The sequence below is a fragment of the Homo sapiens genome, chromosome 9 (assembly GCF_000001405.40).
Source record: "Homo sapiens chromosome 9, GRCh38.p14 Primary Assembly".
Classification (NCBI taxonomy): domain Eukaryota; kingdom Metazoa; phylum Chordata; class Mammalia; order Primates; family Hominidae; genus Homo; species Homo sapiens.
The window spans coordinates 39,925,202-39,942,197 of NC_000009.12; the positions used below are offsets into that span (position 1 = coordinate 39,925,202).

The window sequence follows — 16,996 nt, forward strand, 5'->3', positions numbered from 1 at the left end:
GAATTTTAATACCTTTATTTTCTGTACCTTCATAGTTAATCTCATATTTTCCAAATCTGTTAATGTGGCACTGGTCAGTTATAGCTCCAAAGAATGAGCATCCACTTAATCTCATAACCAGGACCCAACCTGCAACATTAGTATTACAAATTAATTCCTAATTCCAGTCTCACTCTTTCATCACCAGTTCTATCTTTGCACACTTACTAATCCCAATTATTTTAAAGCAAGTTGCTTAACCTGCTGTGGCAGTTTTCCCCTCTCCTTCAACTTTCTCTCCCTTTTTTTTTCTCCTAATAATACCTGCCAAGTAAGAATCCCTTTCATTACATACATCAAATAGCCACTTCTTCCAACAATTTTATTCAACCTAAGTATTCAACCTAAGGGCTTAGATTCATGGTCTGTCCTTACAATGCCGTTCCATCTTTTTAAAGCTAATTGCAATGCACCTAGTCATTTTTATTGCAGCACTATGTATGATAGCCAAGATACAGAATAAGCCTAAGTGTCTGGCAACAGATGAATGCAAAAAGAAAATGCACTATCTGTATACAATGAAGTACTCTTTAGCCATAAAAAATAAAATCTTGCCATTTATGACAATATGGATGAATCTAGAGGACATCATGGTAAGTGAAATAAGCCAGACACAGACAGACAAGTACAGCATGATCTCACTCATAAGTGGAGTCTAAAAAAAAAAGAAAATACAAACATTTAAAAAAGTTAATAGCATAGAAGCAGAGAGTAGAAAAATGTTACCAGAGACTAAAGACAGGAGGACGAAAAGAAGGATGAGGAAACTTTGATTGGTGGTATAAAATTACAACTAGATAAGAGCAAAAAATTCTGGTGTTGTGTTGCACGTAGAGTAAGTATGGTTAACAGTGAAATATCGTATATTACAAAATAGCTTGAAGAGTTGTCTTCGAATGTTCTCACCACAAAGAAATGATAAATATGTAAGATAATAGATTCACTCTGAATGGATCATTATACAACATGGATAGGTATCCAGGTATGAAATTATACCCCATGAATATGTACAATTATTACATGTCAATTAATAAATAAATAATAAGATCACTAGATTTAATCGAGACTCTTATTGACTTGCTCTCATTTTAGAGTTTTAAAACTAGTCTGCCCTATTGCAAACTACCTATTTTTAAAACTACTCTTCTCCTGCACAAAAATTTCTCAAAGTCTCCTTTCTCCTGAAAGAAAAATGACCTATTTAATTTACAAATATTTCAAAAATTAGTACACAACATTTTATATATGAAAAGAATGCTGTAGACTGACTTGCAAATAACATTCTAAGATTCCCATTACCTTTAAGAGGAGTCAGCTGTCATTTTGGAAAAATTAAGATTTCAACAATTTTACACATATTTTGAAAATAATTTTGATAATGAAAAATGTTCAATCTTAAATCGTGTAAATAAGTAAATAGAGAGGTAAAATAAAGAGCTTGATGTTTATGTGATATTGAGAAAAAATCTTTTTTAAAAGTAAAATACAGATTAAAATACAACTTTGTGCTTTAACTGAAGGGTGTCCCTACTCCCTGATGTGTTTGAGACTGTCACAAACCTGAACCCATTTGGACAATACATCAAATAATCATTTTGCATCATTTCACTATTGGGGAAATGATAACTTCTTACATTAAATGAAAAAAAACTGAAAAAGTAGTATTACTTTGTCTTTTAAGTGGCAAGATAGGGTTGATATGATGCCGAAGTACAAACAGTAGGGACTAAGTGAGGATGGAGGATATATGAATAAATGTATCAAAAGTCAAGAGAAATGATAAAACAGACAATTCTGGGGAACAGTAGTAGAAGCTATGCATGGAATATGGTTAGACAGACAGTGATATTTACTTTTGAGTTTTGCTTATATATTTCTAACATTTCTTGATAGGACTGGCATTCTAACAGTTATTCTTATTGTTATAAATTCTTTTAAAAATACTTTTTCTCCAAACATCTCAGTTCAAATTATAGAGTTAAAGGAAACTATAGTAATAAAATAAAATATTAATTATTTCAAAAGAAAAAGAGAAAAATTTGTACACTTAATTTAAAATTGTTTTCAGTCTTATTTTTGCAAGCAATTTACCAATAGATTTGTAATGCACAGTAATGTTGAATGAGTATTGAAGCTATTGAAATACAGAAGTAAGTCAGTTTTTCATTATGCTGTGAGTGATGTCCTGAAACACATTAACTTGATATTTTATCTATTGTTTAATATCATTCCCCATGAATTACATATAATGGTAATAGATTAATATCTTTGGGAGTACTGTAAATAATTATATAATTCAGCCAGGAATTACCTTGTTCATTTGCTAACATTGTTATATTCTTTCAAAAGCAAATAGCAAAAATAATTTTCAACTGACATACATATGGAATACTTACTCTTCAACTATCTCAAAATGCCCAGATTTTCTCCATAACTTTCCTATTGATTTAATTATAGGCATTAGAAATGAGTATTCTAGTACAAGAATAAATAGTGTTGTCTCTCCTTCATCCCCCAGTACTCCTAAATATTTACTAAAAATCTCAATGCTAATCAATAGTGGAAGTATTTGGTGCCTAATGATGGCATTCCATTCCTTCCTTGAAGTCCAACACACAGAGTAATAGAAATCTCATGAATGTGATTGTGTGAGGTTGCTCATAATACTTGGATCTATAGAGAGAATCACTTAACAGACATTAGCTGAATCAGAAACTACTTCTCATTTCATTGAGTTCTATGTAGTCCCCAACCTTTGTGGCACCAGGGACTGGTTTTGTGGAAGACAATATTTCCACGGACAGGGGAGCAGAGGATGGTTTCAGGATTGTAATGGTTAATAATAGGTGTCAACTTAATTGGATTGAAGGATGCCTAGATAATTGGTAAAGAATAGTTTCTGGGTGTGTCAGTGAGGGTGTTGCTGGAGGAGATTAACATTTGAGTCGGACTGGGAGAGGAAGACCGATCTTCAATGTGGGTGGACACCATCCAATTGACTGTCAGCTTGGCTAGAACAAAGCTGGTGGAAGAAGGTGGGATAAGCTGACTTAATGAGTCTTCTGGCTTTCATCATTGCGCTGTGCTGGATGCTTCCTGCCCTTGGACATCAGATTCCAGGTTCTTTAGGCTTTGAACACTTGAACTTACAGCAGTGGTTTTCCAGGGGCTTTCAGGCCCTTGGCCACAGACTAAATGTTGCACTGCCAGCTTTCCTACTTTTGAGGCTTTTGTAGCTGAACTAAGCCTTTGTTGGCTTCCTTGCCCCTCAGCTTGCAGACAGCCTATCATGGGACTTCACCTTGTGATCATATAGTCAATTCTCATTAATAAACTCCTTTTCATATATACATATATCTTATAAGTTCTGTCCCTCTGGAGAACCCTGACTAATACAGGCATGAAACTGTTCCACCTCAGATCATCGGGCATTAGATTCTCATGAGGTATGCACAACCTAGATCCCTTGCATGCTCAGTTCATAATAGGGTTCACATTCCTATAAGAATCTAATGCTGTAGCTGATTCGACAGGAGGCAGAGCTCAGGTGGTAATGCTCACTCACCTGCCGCTCACCTCCTGCTGTATGATCTGATTCCTAACAAGCCATAGCTCATAACCAAGGGTTGAGGACCACTGTGTTAAAAGATAAACTAAGACACAATAAAATTTTAAATATGTTATTTACACAATGATTTATGACTCAGGCAGCTCCAAACCATAAAAGTGGCTTAAGAGCACCACTGAGGGATCACAGGGGGAGGCTTTTAGAGGACAGGCACAGAAGAAAACTAAAGATAATATTTGACTATTTATAGTTGTACAGTTATTTGTACCTTATTTGGTACCAAAGTTGTACGTTATTAGGTCTATCCCACTGGAAAGTCTTCAGTTGTATGATTATGTGTGTTGGCTACTTCTGATTGGTTGAACTTAAGTTCTGTTTTTCTTTAATATAGAAATTGATAATAGCTCAAGTTTCCCTTATATCTGTAGATCAAACAAGGTTTAGATCACTTATGATGCCTAACTGGTTTTGTCTGCTCAGAAATTCTTCAGGCCTGGACTCCATTTTAATTTACTTTAATGATTGTTACTTTAAATTTGGATTAAACAGTGGATTCATATGTACTGAGTGAAAAAAAAATGGAAATAGATGTTATAAAATTTATTTGAAATCATTCAGCCAGGATGTTTTAAACAGCATAAATTAGCAGAATTACCAAAAACACATTTTGAAAAAACCTTGAAGCAATTTTAATGTATTGCAAAATGTGAAGGAGACTAGTAGGACAAAAACTTAAAGGTTGAGTTTGAGATACGATGCAGGGTTTTTTGCTCCTTAGCCCAGCTAGGCCTAAGTTCTGAAGAAGTAGGCACATGGACGCTCAAAGAGTAAGTGTAGTAGAATTTATTTAGTGAAAGGAAAGCTCTCAGCAAAGAGAGGGGTCCTGACATCAAGTTCTTGGTTGCCCCCTTAACAGTTGAATACAAGGGCATTTTTTTTCTTGAGACAGAGCCTCACTCTGTTGCCAAGGCTGGAGTGCAATGGCGTGATCTTGGCTCACTATACCCTCTGCCTTCCAGGTTCAAGTGATTCTCCTGCCTCAGCCTCCTGAGTAGCTGGGATTATTGGCACATGTCACCAGGCCCGGATAATTTTTGTAGTTTTAGTAGAGATGGGATTTACCATGTTGGTCAGGCTGGTCTCCAACTCCTGCTCTAGTGATCTGCCCGCCTCTGCCTCCCGAAGTGTTCGGATTACAGGTGTGAGCTACTGCACCCGGCAACAAGGACATTTTTATACAAGCTGATAGGGCTGTGAATTCCTGGTTGTATGAGACATGAATTCCTGGTTGCTCCACTCCACCTTTCCAGTGAGTTATGTGGGCCCTTAGTCTGTGCCTCTCCATATTGATTTATTTCCTTTAATGCACATATGTTAAGGAACGAAATTTTCCACTATGGGCATGTTTAGGCAAGCTCCCTTAGCAAGTACGCTTATCCGCACAAAATATTTGGTATAAACACCTGGGGGGTGGGTAAGAGGTTCTCCAGGGGACCCTTTCCTGACTGTCTCCCTAAAGCAAGTTGGCTGACTCCTTTCATTCCTCCCTTCAGGAGTGGAGACCCCAAATTCTGTTGGGGAAAGTGTACAACGACTGCTCTTAACTGCTTCCTGCTGACAAGGGGTGCTGTTTTGGGAAAGTGGCAGTTAAGGCTCCTCCTGAGGTCAGTTTAAGGGTCCCCAAAGAGAACGGTGTGTTCATGAGTGGTTCTGTTTGCATCACCATTTGATGTTGAACGGCCTTTAAGTGAGAAGAAACAATTAGGGTTATTAGAAGACATATTCAAAATGAAACAAAGGGATAAGGACAGCTCAAAACAAAACAAAACAAAACAAAATCTCAAGGCTGCCAATACAGCCAGATAACTCGTGGCTATAGTTATGCCTGCTAAGGTTTGTATTCATGGGGCTTGGCTTTGATTAGCTCCCTTGGTCTTATTTTCCCAAACAAAGAAATCTCTGGGTTATGGGCACCTATTTACTCCGATCACCTGGAAGGATTTGCAGGATAATTGTTCAGAATTAAAATATTGATCCAGATTTTTTATATTACTCGTCCCTTTGGTTCTTTTGAGCTGCAGCCGTACATTGCTGGTTGGTCCACAGGAACAAGCAGGGTAGTCTAAAATGTAGGCAAAAACTTAAAAACAACTAATGGGATTATAATGTAATGACAAATGTAGAATACGTTTTGAAACATAATTTCTCTCTCTCCAGTCCTCATTTTTGTCAAAAACAAATCATGATAGGACTCAGTTGTTTGAAAAAATAAACTTTAGCCTTATACTTGTCTTATTTGCATAAAGTGCAAAAAGAATAATTATTTTTCCCATAGGCTTTTAAATTGGCTTTGATGGAACTCTGTTCCATAAGGCATCTCAGTTAAGACCTTTTAAGGCCAAGCCCAGCCAAGGGTTTCCACCCTCAAATATCTACAAGTTTGGTAAATCATTCTCTTCTTGATGTCCCAAGAACAAGCTTTTTAACAGGCTCCTAAGCCTGTTAAAAAGTGACATGCTTTACTCCCCATGGGTTAGGAACCTTGTACAAGGACTGTGTTGACAAGGTATGTAGCCAGTTTTCCCAAGGGACTTTTATTGGCAAGTCCAGCTTAATGACTTAAAGGAACATATACCCTTCCAGTAAAAGCCTTGGTAAAACCCCCAGTTTCTTCAATTGTGTCCTGTTGCAAAAGAAAATGTATTCTTATTGCACTGATGAAAATAACTGAATTGCCATAAATTAAATATTCTCACAAATAGTTTCCAAATTCTGGCAAAGCCAGGCAGAGAGAAACAAACATCCTTCAAATTTTGTTCACAGGCGTATAGTTTACTCAATTATTAAAGGTTTTAAATAGGTCAAAATAAGTATCCTTGACTCAGAAAAATAAAGCAAGGATCACCAAAGTTTTAAGCAAAAAGGTTAAAAATAATACTTGTTTTCTATTAGTTCAATCCATTCTGTTCTCTTGTTCTGCTTGATATTCATGAACATTTCAGTTCTTCATGAGTACTGTATTTTTTTCAATGTCATAATCTCCAGAGTTAATGGAATCTTGCATTTGAGAACACTTGTCAAAATCCTATAGCTGATTATAAATCATCTTTTGAGTAGGATCAAAACAAGACATTTGTCTGTGAATGATGAAATGTCCAGGGTAGTTACTGTCAAGAATACAATTGACAAAGAAATTTAGTTATTTCTAGGGTTTACAATAACTAAACATAATAACCTTAATTATGATTGATAGCATATACTCAGACATTAGAATTTTAGAAATCTCATATAATTTTGAAACATATTAATATTATTCACTAAAATATAACCTAAAGCAGATTAAATACAACTTTGGAAATACCATATAACTAAACATTTCAAAAAACCCAGTTTTCTTCTGTTTTGGATGTTCCAGGGACCAGGAAAGACAATTTTAAAACTGAAGTTTGATTTTGGGAAGACTGTTAATTACGTTAGAGGTTCAAAGCACTTGATACTATAAAATAGAATTCCAAGTTACCACATGTCATTTATTTTAGCCAAAATGATGACTCAAACATTTTAAAACAACGCAAAAGCATATTCACAGGAAGAGGGAAAATTTAGCTTTCCAAACAATCTGTCGTTAATTTTACAGGGAAATGCTGTTCAAGTGAAAGCCTAATTTCATCCTTGCATTAGTCTACTGTTGATGTCAACCCTAATTTTTTTAATGAAAACTTATAGATAATTATATCTAATCTTATCTAGTTTGACCATGAGGTGAGATTTTTTTAAACTTTTATAACCCTTTACAAATTGTTGTTAAAGAGCAGGTCAGCGCCTTTAGAAAACCTTGTTGTGCTTTTATTTCAATGCTCAATTTACAAAAACAAAATACTTTTTTGAAATTAGCCAATATGTTCACACAATTTCTTTTGCAAGATTAAGTTTTACAAACTTTTCACCATTTGTTTAAACCTTCAGCTTTATCTTATCTAATTCAAAACAATCCTTTAACCCAAGGCAAAAATTTACATTTTCATGCATTCTTATAATCTTTTACTAAAAACATATTTTACTTTCCTTACTTACCTTATATGTAAATCTATTTTCATTGTCTCGATTACAGATTATTATGGTAACTCCTAGCAATTTTTAACTTTAATGTAAAACCTGGCAAGTTGCTTTAATTATGTAGTAGGCATAAATAAAGTCTGATTCCTTCCTGCATAATTAAGGGTGTGGTTAATTCCATATGTCCCTGGACTTATTAATTGTGAAGCAGGCAAATTGAATAGTGTATTAGTCAATTTTCATGCTGCAGATAAAGACAATCTTGAGACTGGGCAATTTACAAAAGAAAGAGGTTTAATTGGACTTACAGTTCCACGTGGCTGAGGAGGCCTCACAATCATAGCAGAAGGCAAGGGGGAGCAAGTGACATCTTATGTGGATGGTGGCAAACCAAAAAAGAGAGCTTGTGCAGAGAAACTCTCATTTTTAAAACCATCAGATCCATGAAACCCATTACTATCATGCGAACAGCATAAAAAGACCCACCCTCATGATTCAATCATCTCCCACTGGGTCCCTGCCACAACACATGGAAATTACGGGAGCTACAAGATGAGATTTGGGTGGAGACACAGAGCCAAACTTCATCAAATAGTTCTTAAAAGCCAAAGAAGCAGTTAATAACTTTGAAGCATTTAGCTAACCTAGCATTTGACCTACATGATTCAGCCCACATATTTACATTTTAAAGACATTTGTATTTTACCAATTATTTTTAAAACAGCCTTTATTTCTTAAAGATTATAGTCATGTGAACTGAAAAGGTATTACAGCTTTTATTTTTCTTCAAAAAATATTTGATCTAAGTGCTTATTTTCCTAGAGCTTTTTTATATAAACATCACGCCCATAAGAAATATAAAATTACACAGATGAACAAAAGCAAATTCAGTACTTGTAAGATTTTTCATTTGCCAATCTTCTGAATAGATTATTGGCCTCTGGGTGAAGCCCTTCAAGAGCAGGGTCTAGGACAGCATACAGTTTCTAGGGCCTAATAAACAGGCATAGCTGGAAGACAGAGACAGATTTTGAGAAGGATCTATCCACTTTTAATTCCTGGAGTTTCGTGAGGAAAACAGAGGGTGTTTTTTCCCCAAAATGGGGTCTGCGGCACCTTCTTTGTTTTTTCCCAGGAGCCCCGGGCTATCAGAAGTTATCTTAGAGCCTCTCATGTATGCACTGAATGACAAGACAAAATGGGAAAAAAAAAATCATTCAACAGAGAAAGAACCTTTTTCCAGAAAAACAAGATCCATGCAGAGAAAAATTTAAAGGCCTTTAAATATACCTATAACTTGGATATCCACTTTGAATTCAGCTGTGCTCTAAGAAAATCGTTTCATATCTATTACCCAACTTTAGCCATGCCGAGCAGCCAATATTTCTGGCTTTTGAACTTTATTAAAAATAACCTCACAGGTGAAACCAACAAGCCTCAACTAAGGTTATGACTTAACTGTAAGTGTAAAAGTTATTTTCAAAGAGGTGCTAAGCAGTTTTTACAGAATCTAAGATCTTTAAAGTTGGTTCAGACAAAGGAAGATTTAAGAAAGGAAGCTAAAGTTGTTTATAGAGGGGAAGAGAATCAGCAAATGGTAAAAGTCACACAGATATTGGCCAAAATATACTCATTCCCTAAGCCGGGATTAAACCCAGGCCACCATTGTAAAATGGCAGAGGCCAAAAGAAAGTATTATCAAGTGGTTACAAGGTCAAGCTCCTAAGGACAAAAAACAAGATGAAGAACTGCAGCAAGGTTTGTTACTGACCAGTTTGCCAGGCTGGTTTGATCAGCAAACTTTTGGGGTCCTAGGCCTGCATTCTATCCTAAGGTACCCCTCTTTATGACAGAACTATACAGAAAGACACACAAAGCACACTACATTGGCTACAGCTTAAGACTAGCCTCATAAATCCTTTTTTTCTATTTATCAGAACTTCAGAGAGTATATAAACAGTGATTTAAACAGGGATTTTATCATTTATTCAACTGGTTTGCACAGGGAGAAGGAGGCCAGAAGTCTGACTGGTAAGAACTATTTTTTTTTTTTTTTTTTTTTTTTGAGACAGAGTCTCCCTCTGTCCCCAGGCTGGAGTGCAGTGGTGTGATCTCCGCTCACTGCAAGCTCCATCTCCCAGGTTCACGCCATTCTCCTGCCTCAGCCTCCGGAGTAGCTGGGACTACAGGTGCCCGCTACCACGCCCGGCTAATTTTTTGTTGTTGTTGTCGTTGTTATTTTTAGTAGAGATGGGGTTTCACCGTGTCAGCCAGGATGGTCTCCATCTCCCGACCTCATGATCCGCCTGCCTTGGCCTCCCAAAATGCTGGGATTACAGGCGTGAGCCACTGCACCCGGCCCTGGTAAGAACTTTTACCCTTTTGCTGGTGTACCAGGCTTCTGAGTTGCCCTTTTTCATGCTCAGTTTTGAGCCAAGCAGTTTAAGGTTTGGAGAAATTAACTTTTCCCAGTTTAAGAGATGCATCCAAAGGGAGTGTCCTGTGGTACAGCGACACAATGACCCACCCACAAAGAGAGGACAGAGGAGGAAAAAGGAGAAAGGAGGTGTTTTTCCAGAAGAGTCCTAGTGATTCAGGAGGCAATCAAGAGAAATATGGGCTGCAGATGATTGGTTACTCACCTAAGAAGAGGGGAGCAAGGCATCCCTAGTTTCTTCTTTTTCCTAGTAAATACCTGAGGTACATGAGGGAGAGGAGAAAAGTGTCCTCTTTCTTTCTTCTGTTCTTATATCCCTGAGTCCTGGTGATCTTGGCAGGTTACCACCCATGGGTGCCAGTGCAGCTTTCACCTATGTTAACAGGGGGCTTACAGGGTGCGAGTTATCCACCATTACCCATGCGCTGCTTGTCCCACTGTTGTCGATAACTTTTGAGTTCTCTGGATTTCATACATGCCGTGGATACTAGAATGACCTCTATCCACGAGATGGAAGGGGGCCTAATCGGCAGCAATGAGTCATGCTAACCTAAAGCTTTGGAGCTGGGTCTTCCTTAAACAAGGGAGAGAAAAGGCTGTCTTGGGAATTGGGGTCCTGGCCTAATAAGAAAAAACAAAAACAAAAACCAACAAAAAACCTCTCATAAAAGTTAACTCCTTACAAAGTGGAGAAAAGAAAAAAAAATAAAATAAAACAGCTTAAGTGCAGGGTGGGGAAGATGCCTGGAGGAGAAACCTTTTATTCTTATGCAAATGAGTTCCTCCAATAGGGAGAGAACATTTTAATTGCTGTCTCCTCCTTTCTGGCTCAGCCAGGGGAGGAAAGACACTGTGGGTGCATGGGGAGAGGGAAGAGTGAGCAGGAAAAGCTGGCCACCTAGCCAAGTGGGGCCCTTGGGCTATGTGCCCCAGACGGGAGGGGAGGGGGTTGGGAGTTGCCACTCTCCCATTTGTCTCACATGTGTACCTGTGGCCATTGGAGGTTGGGGTAAGGGACATGTCTCTAAAAACGGAGGGAGAGCACATTGTTCTGAATTGTATAGAATTTATTAAGTTAAAGGAAAGCTCTCAGCAAAGAGAGGAGTCCTGAAAGTAGGTTCCCGGTTGCCCTCTTCACAGGTGAATCAAAGGCATTTTTATATAAGCTGATGGGGCTGAGTTCCCTATTTGTATAAGGCGTGAATTCCTGTAGGCTCCACTGCATCCTTCCAGAGTGCATGCAGACCCTTAGTCTGAGACATTCCATATTGATTTATTTTTCTTACTGCCCACGTGTTAAGAAACAAAATTTTCCACTGCGGGCATGTTTAGGCAAGCCCCCGGAGCAAGTACCCTTATGTGCACAAAACATCTGGTATAAACACTTGTGGAGCAGATAGGAGGTTCTCTGGGGGACCCTTCCCTTAGTGTCTGCCTAAAGCAAGCTGGCTAACTTTTCAGAAAGAGACAGAGAAAATGAAGTAGCTACCAAAGTATTCTGGGTCTACAAGTGATATTATTTTCAACAAGTATTCAAATGCCATTCTAGTCTAAACTAATTCATTATAAATCAGCTAATATTAAGTAAATATTTTACAAATTAAAAACTAGTTACAAAAGGTAGAGACCTCAAAGAAAGGCAGAAATGAGGCAAATGGGGAAAAATTATGGTGACTTAAAGCCTATATATTGTGATCTGGAGAATTAGAATTTAATTTGTCTATACAAAGTAGGTCATGATCCTGATAAGTTTAGCAATTAGAGTATTTATAAAAAGTAAGAGCTAAATAATTTGTTTCAGGGATGCACTTTTATTTCAATTATCTAGACCTGAAATTATATTTTTTTGAGATCGTTCAGGAAGAAGAAATTACATGAGGAGAACTTTCTAATCAGTATGCTTAGTGTAAATATATCTGATGAGTTCATAAGTCTGTTTCATTTATTATTCTTCAGTATAGGTCTGTAGCATGACACAAACAATTCCTGATGACTTCAGCTACCTTTTTAAGGAAGGTAGACTTGCTCCATCCCCTATCTTCTATTTTGCATCTGAAAGAGGATCATACTCCTGTTTAAGTCAACTTTATTAATGTTTTTCAAAATATTTCTTCTCTTGCCAATATAAAATAATGAAATTGTAGTAAAATGGGGATTGTCTTCCTCAAGATGAGTAATTTTTCATGAACAATTTATTTAATTATTTCAATAATTATTCAAAAATGATTTCAAATTATTTCAACAATTTATCTTATGAACATTTATTTCATTATTTATTCACACCATCAAATAATATTTTACATTGAGTCCAAATTTTTTGCATTGCTGTTCATGTCAGGTTTATATTGGAATTAATTCTCTATGACCTCCTTTTTAAGCACTGCTAAATAGATAGTAATCTTTCTTTCTATAACAGTTGAGTTTAAATTGCTTTTCTTAATTTTCTCTGACAGAGAACATTATTTTTTATTGTTGTAAACAAGCTATATTCTACATATTTAATTATTTGGAATTTGATTTGTGTATATTTTTCAGTGGAAGCTAACTTCTTCCTAATGTCTCCATCTACATTTCATATTTATTCATCCATTCACATATTCAACAAAATTTGAGAATCTGTTTTTGGGCTTTTAATACTCATCTTATTCATTTTACTATTTATGTTTTTATTTCTTTATTTATTTAGAAACTGGTTCTCACTTAGTTGCCCACGTTAGAGTGTAGTGATGCCATCATAGCTCATGGCAGCCTCAAACTCCTGGGCTCAAGTTTGTTAATTTTATTTTAAATGTCCACACAGTGTTCTCAGTCAGAAACAGATTTCTTAATAATGTGTGTTGGCTGCTCCTTTTCCCAGTTCTTATCTTTGGACAGTATAAAGAGATCCAGATCATCCTAGTGAGAGGCCAGACTCTCTGAAAGCAAGAAGTTAAGAACAATGGTTTTTTTCCTTGTCTTTGTTTTTATACTTATAATAGGACGGAAACGGCTGTTTTTCTGTCCTTCTAAGAGGATATCTTCTTTATTCCAAACTTTTGGAATGTTGTAAAATCTCTCCTGGAACCAAATAACCCTGTATCTCCAAGTTTTTATGACCTATAGCTGTCTCCAAATTCTGGAACATCATATCTTTTGACATATGAATACAAAAACCTAGTCTTCCTCTTACCCTAGTACTTAACCTAGGAACCTAGTAATCTAAGGATTTTAAAAATTTGACCCTCTTAGGGGAGTAAAAGAAGTTTTCCTATTGTTGCAAATCAGAGAAATTAACTGGACAAAGGGCTACAGATCTAATTCTCTCAGTGTGTGAAGAGTCTCAAGAAGCTAGTGCTTTGAGAGAATCCATGAGAAACCCAGGGACCTTTAATATCTCCTCATTATTATTTGCATAGCACACTACCAGGGGAGATGGAGAATTAAAATAATAATATATTTTAATAACTTTAAGTTCTCTTAAATCATATGGTTTTTTAAGGATAAAAAAAAATCCTGGATATCTATGGCTATACTTAGACATATGTAATATACATATATAACACAATAACTTTTGGGGAACAAGTGGTTTTTGGTTACAGAGTGGTAAAGTCTGAGATTTTGGTGCCCTTGTCACCCAAGTAGTGTACATTGTACCCAATATGTAGTGTTTTATCCCTCACCCACCTCCTACTCTCCCCCTTAGTGGTCTCCAATGTCCATTATACCACTCTGTATGCATACCCATGGCTTAGCTACCACTTAAAAGTGAGAATATATGATATTTGGTTTTCCATTCCTGAGTTACTTCACTTAGAATAATGGCCTCCAGCTCCAGTTGGAGTTGCTGCAAATGACATTATTTCATTCTTTTTAGGGCTGAGTAGTATGTCATGGTGTATGTTTACCACATTTCTTTATCCACTCATTGGTTGAGGAGCACTTAGGTTGGTTCTGTATCTTTGTAATTGTGAATTGTACTGCAATAAACATATACATGCAGGTGTATTTTTGATACAATGACTTTTTTTAATTTGAGTAGTTAACCAGTAGTGGGATTGATGGACTGAATGCTAGATCTACTTTTAGTTATTTCAAAAATCTCCATAATGCTTTACATAAAGGATGTACTAATTTACATTCCCACCAGCAATGTATAAGCATGCCCTTTTCACCACATTCATGCCAAAATCTGTTTCTTTGTTTTTTTTGACTTTTTAATAATGGCTATTATGCTGGGAAAAGATGGTATCTCACTGTGGTTTTAATTTGCATTTCTTTGATGATTAGTGACATTGAGAATTTTTTATATGTTTGTTGGTCATTTGTATATCTTCTTTTGAGAAATGTCTATTCATGTAATTTTTTTTCACTTTCTGTTGGGATTATTTTTTCTTGCTGATTTGTTTTCCTTGTTAATTCTAGATATTAATTATTTGCTAGATGCATACTTTGTAAACATTTTCTTCTATTCTCTGAGTTATCTGTTTACTGTGATGATTATTTCTTTTGCTGTGAAGGTTTTTAGTTTACTTATGTCCTTTTTATTTATTTTTGCTTTTGTTGCATTTACTTTTGGAGTCTTAGTCATAAAGTTTTGGCTTAGGTAAATATCCAGATGTGTTTTTCTTAGTTTTTTTCCAGAATTTTTATGGTTTTGGGTTTTATATTTAAGTCTGATCCATCTTCTAATTTTTGTAGATGGTGAGAAAGAGTGATCCAGTTTCATTCTTCTACATGTGGCTGTCTTGTTTTCCCTGCATCATTTATTGAATAGGGTGTCCTTTCCTATTTATGTTTTTGAATGCTTTGTGGAGGATCAGTTGGTTGTATACATTTGGCTTTATTTCTGGTTTCTCTATTCCTTTCCTTTGGTTTATTTATCTACCTTTATACCAGTACCATGCATGCTGTTTTGATTACTAAAACCTTGTATTATAACTTGAAGTCTCTTAAAACTATGCCTCTGGATTTGTTCTTTTTGCTTAGAGTTGCTTTTTTAATTCAAGCTTATTTCTGGTTTCATAAGAATTTAGAATTGCTTTCTCTAATTCTATGAAAAATGATGTCAGTATTTTGATAGGAAGTGCATTGAATCTGTAGATTGCTTTTAGCAGTAAGGTCATTTTCACAAATATGATTCTTCTTATCCATGAGCATGGGATGTATTTCCATTTGTTTATATCATCTCTAATTTATTTCAGCAGTTTTTGTAGCTCTCCTTATGGAGATCTTTCACTTATTTGGTTAAGTGTATTTCAATTTTTTTTCTGCTGCTATTGTAAAAGAAATTGAGTTCTTGATTTGATTCTCAGCTTGATCATTGTTGGTGCTATGCAGTAGTACTAATTTGTGTACATTCATTTTGTAACCTAAGATTTTATGAATTCATTCATCAAATAGAAGAGTCTTTTGGTGGAATTCTTAGGCTTATCTAAGTATATGCTTAAATCATCAGCAAACAGAGATAATTTGTCTTCCTCTTTTCCAGCTTGGATGCCCTTTATTTCTTCCTCTTGCTTGATTGCTCTGGGTAGGACTTCCAGTACTATGTTAAGTAGAAGTGGTGAAAATGGGCATCCTTAACTTGTTCTAGCCCTCAGTGGGAAGACTTTCAACTTTTCCCCATTCAATATGATGTTGGCCATGGGTTTGTCATATATAGCTTTTATTATTTTGAGATATGTTTATTCTATGTCTAGTTTGTTTAGGGTTTTTATCATAAAGCAATGCTGGATTTTACTGAATGTTTTTATGCATCTATTGAGATGATCATACGTATTTGGTTTTTAATTCTGTTTATAAAATACATCACATTTATTACCTTGCGTATGTTGAGTCATCCTTGCCTCCCTGGGATGAGACTCACTTGATTATAGTGAATTGTCTTTTTGATATGCTTTTGGATTTGATTTGCCAGTATCTGTTAAGAATTTTTGCATATGTCTTTATCAGAGATGTTCATTTGTAGTTTTCTTTTTTTATGATATGCCTTTTTCTGGTTTTGGTATCAGGGTGATACTGGCTTCATAGAATGAGTTAAGGAGGATTCCCTTTTTCTCAGTCTTTTAGAGTAGTTTCAGTAGGCTTGGTACCAGTTCTTCTTTGAATGTCTGATAGAATTTGGCTGTGATCTGTCTGGGTTTTTTAGTCGGCATTTTTTTTTTCTTACTTATACAATCTCACTGCTTGTTATTGGTCTGTAAGGATACCTATTTCTTCCTGGTTTAAGCTGGTAGGGTTGTATGTTTCCTGGAATCTATCTATTTTCTTTACTTTTATTTTTATGTGCATAGAGGTTACATAGTAGTCTCAAATGATCTTTTATATTTCTGTGATATTGGTTAAAATGTTTCCATTTTCATTTCTAATTGAGCTAATTTAAACTTCTATCTTCTTAATTGTTCTAACTAATGTTCTAACTAATTGTTAGAACAATTGTTAATCGTTCTAATTGTTAGAACAATTGTTAATCGTTCTAATTGTTAGAACAATTGTTAATTGTTCTAACAATCTTAATTCTTCTAACTAATGATCTATTTTATTTCTATTTTCAAATAACCAAATTTTGTTTCATTAAACTTTTGTATTTTTATTTCAATTTCATTTAGTTCTGCTGTAATCTTTCTTTTCTTCTCCTGGCTTTAAGTTTGATTTGTTGTTTCTATAGTTTCTTGAGGTATGACATTATGTTGCGAATTTGTAATCTTTCAGACTTTTTTACGTAGGTGTTCAGTGCTAGAAACTTTCCTTTTAGCATTGCTTTTGCTATGTCCCAGAGGTTTTGATAACTTGTGTCACTATAATCATCCATTTAAAGAATTTTTTAATTTCTTTCTTCATTTCATTGTTAACCCAGTAATCATTAAGAAGCAGATTGTTCAATTTCCAGGTAATTGTATAGTTTTAAGGGTTCCTTT

The 16,996-nt window shown here is 35.6% G+C and overlaps 1 long non-coding RNA gene across 11 annotated transcripts in view; it reads left to right on the forward strand.

Moving 5' to 3' along the window:
- LOC105376050 (uncharacterized) overlaps positions 1–16,996 on the forward strand; it is a 108,520-nt gene that overhangs the window by 29,616 nt on the left and 61,908 nt on the right. The window contains exon 1 of one of the 11 annotated variants that reach the window (XR_001746437.2): positions 4,756–5,271. The exons of 7 other annotated variants lie outside the window; for them this stretch is intronic. This is a non-coding gene — a long non-coding RNA (uncharacterized LOC105376050). Of the gene's footprint in view, positions 1–4,755; positions 5,272–9,908; positions 10,028–16,686; positions 16,969–16,996 lie in introns of those variants that run through there. 3 more of the 11 variants (XR_007061494.1, XR_001746438.2, XR_001746439.2) reach the window with 3 other exon arrangements.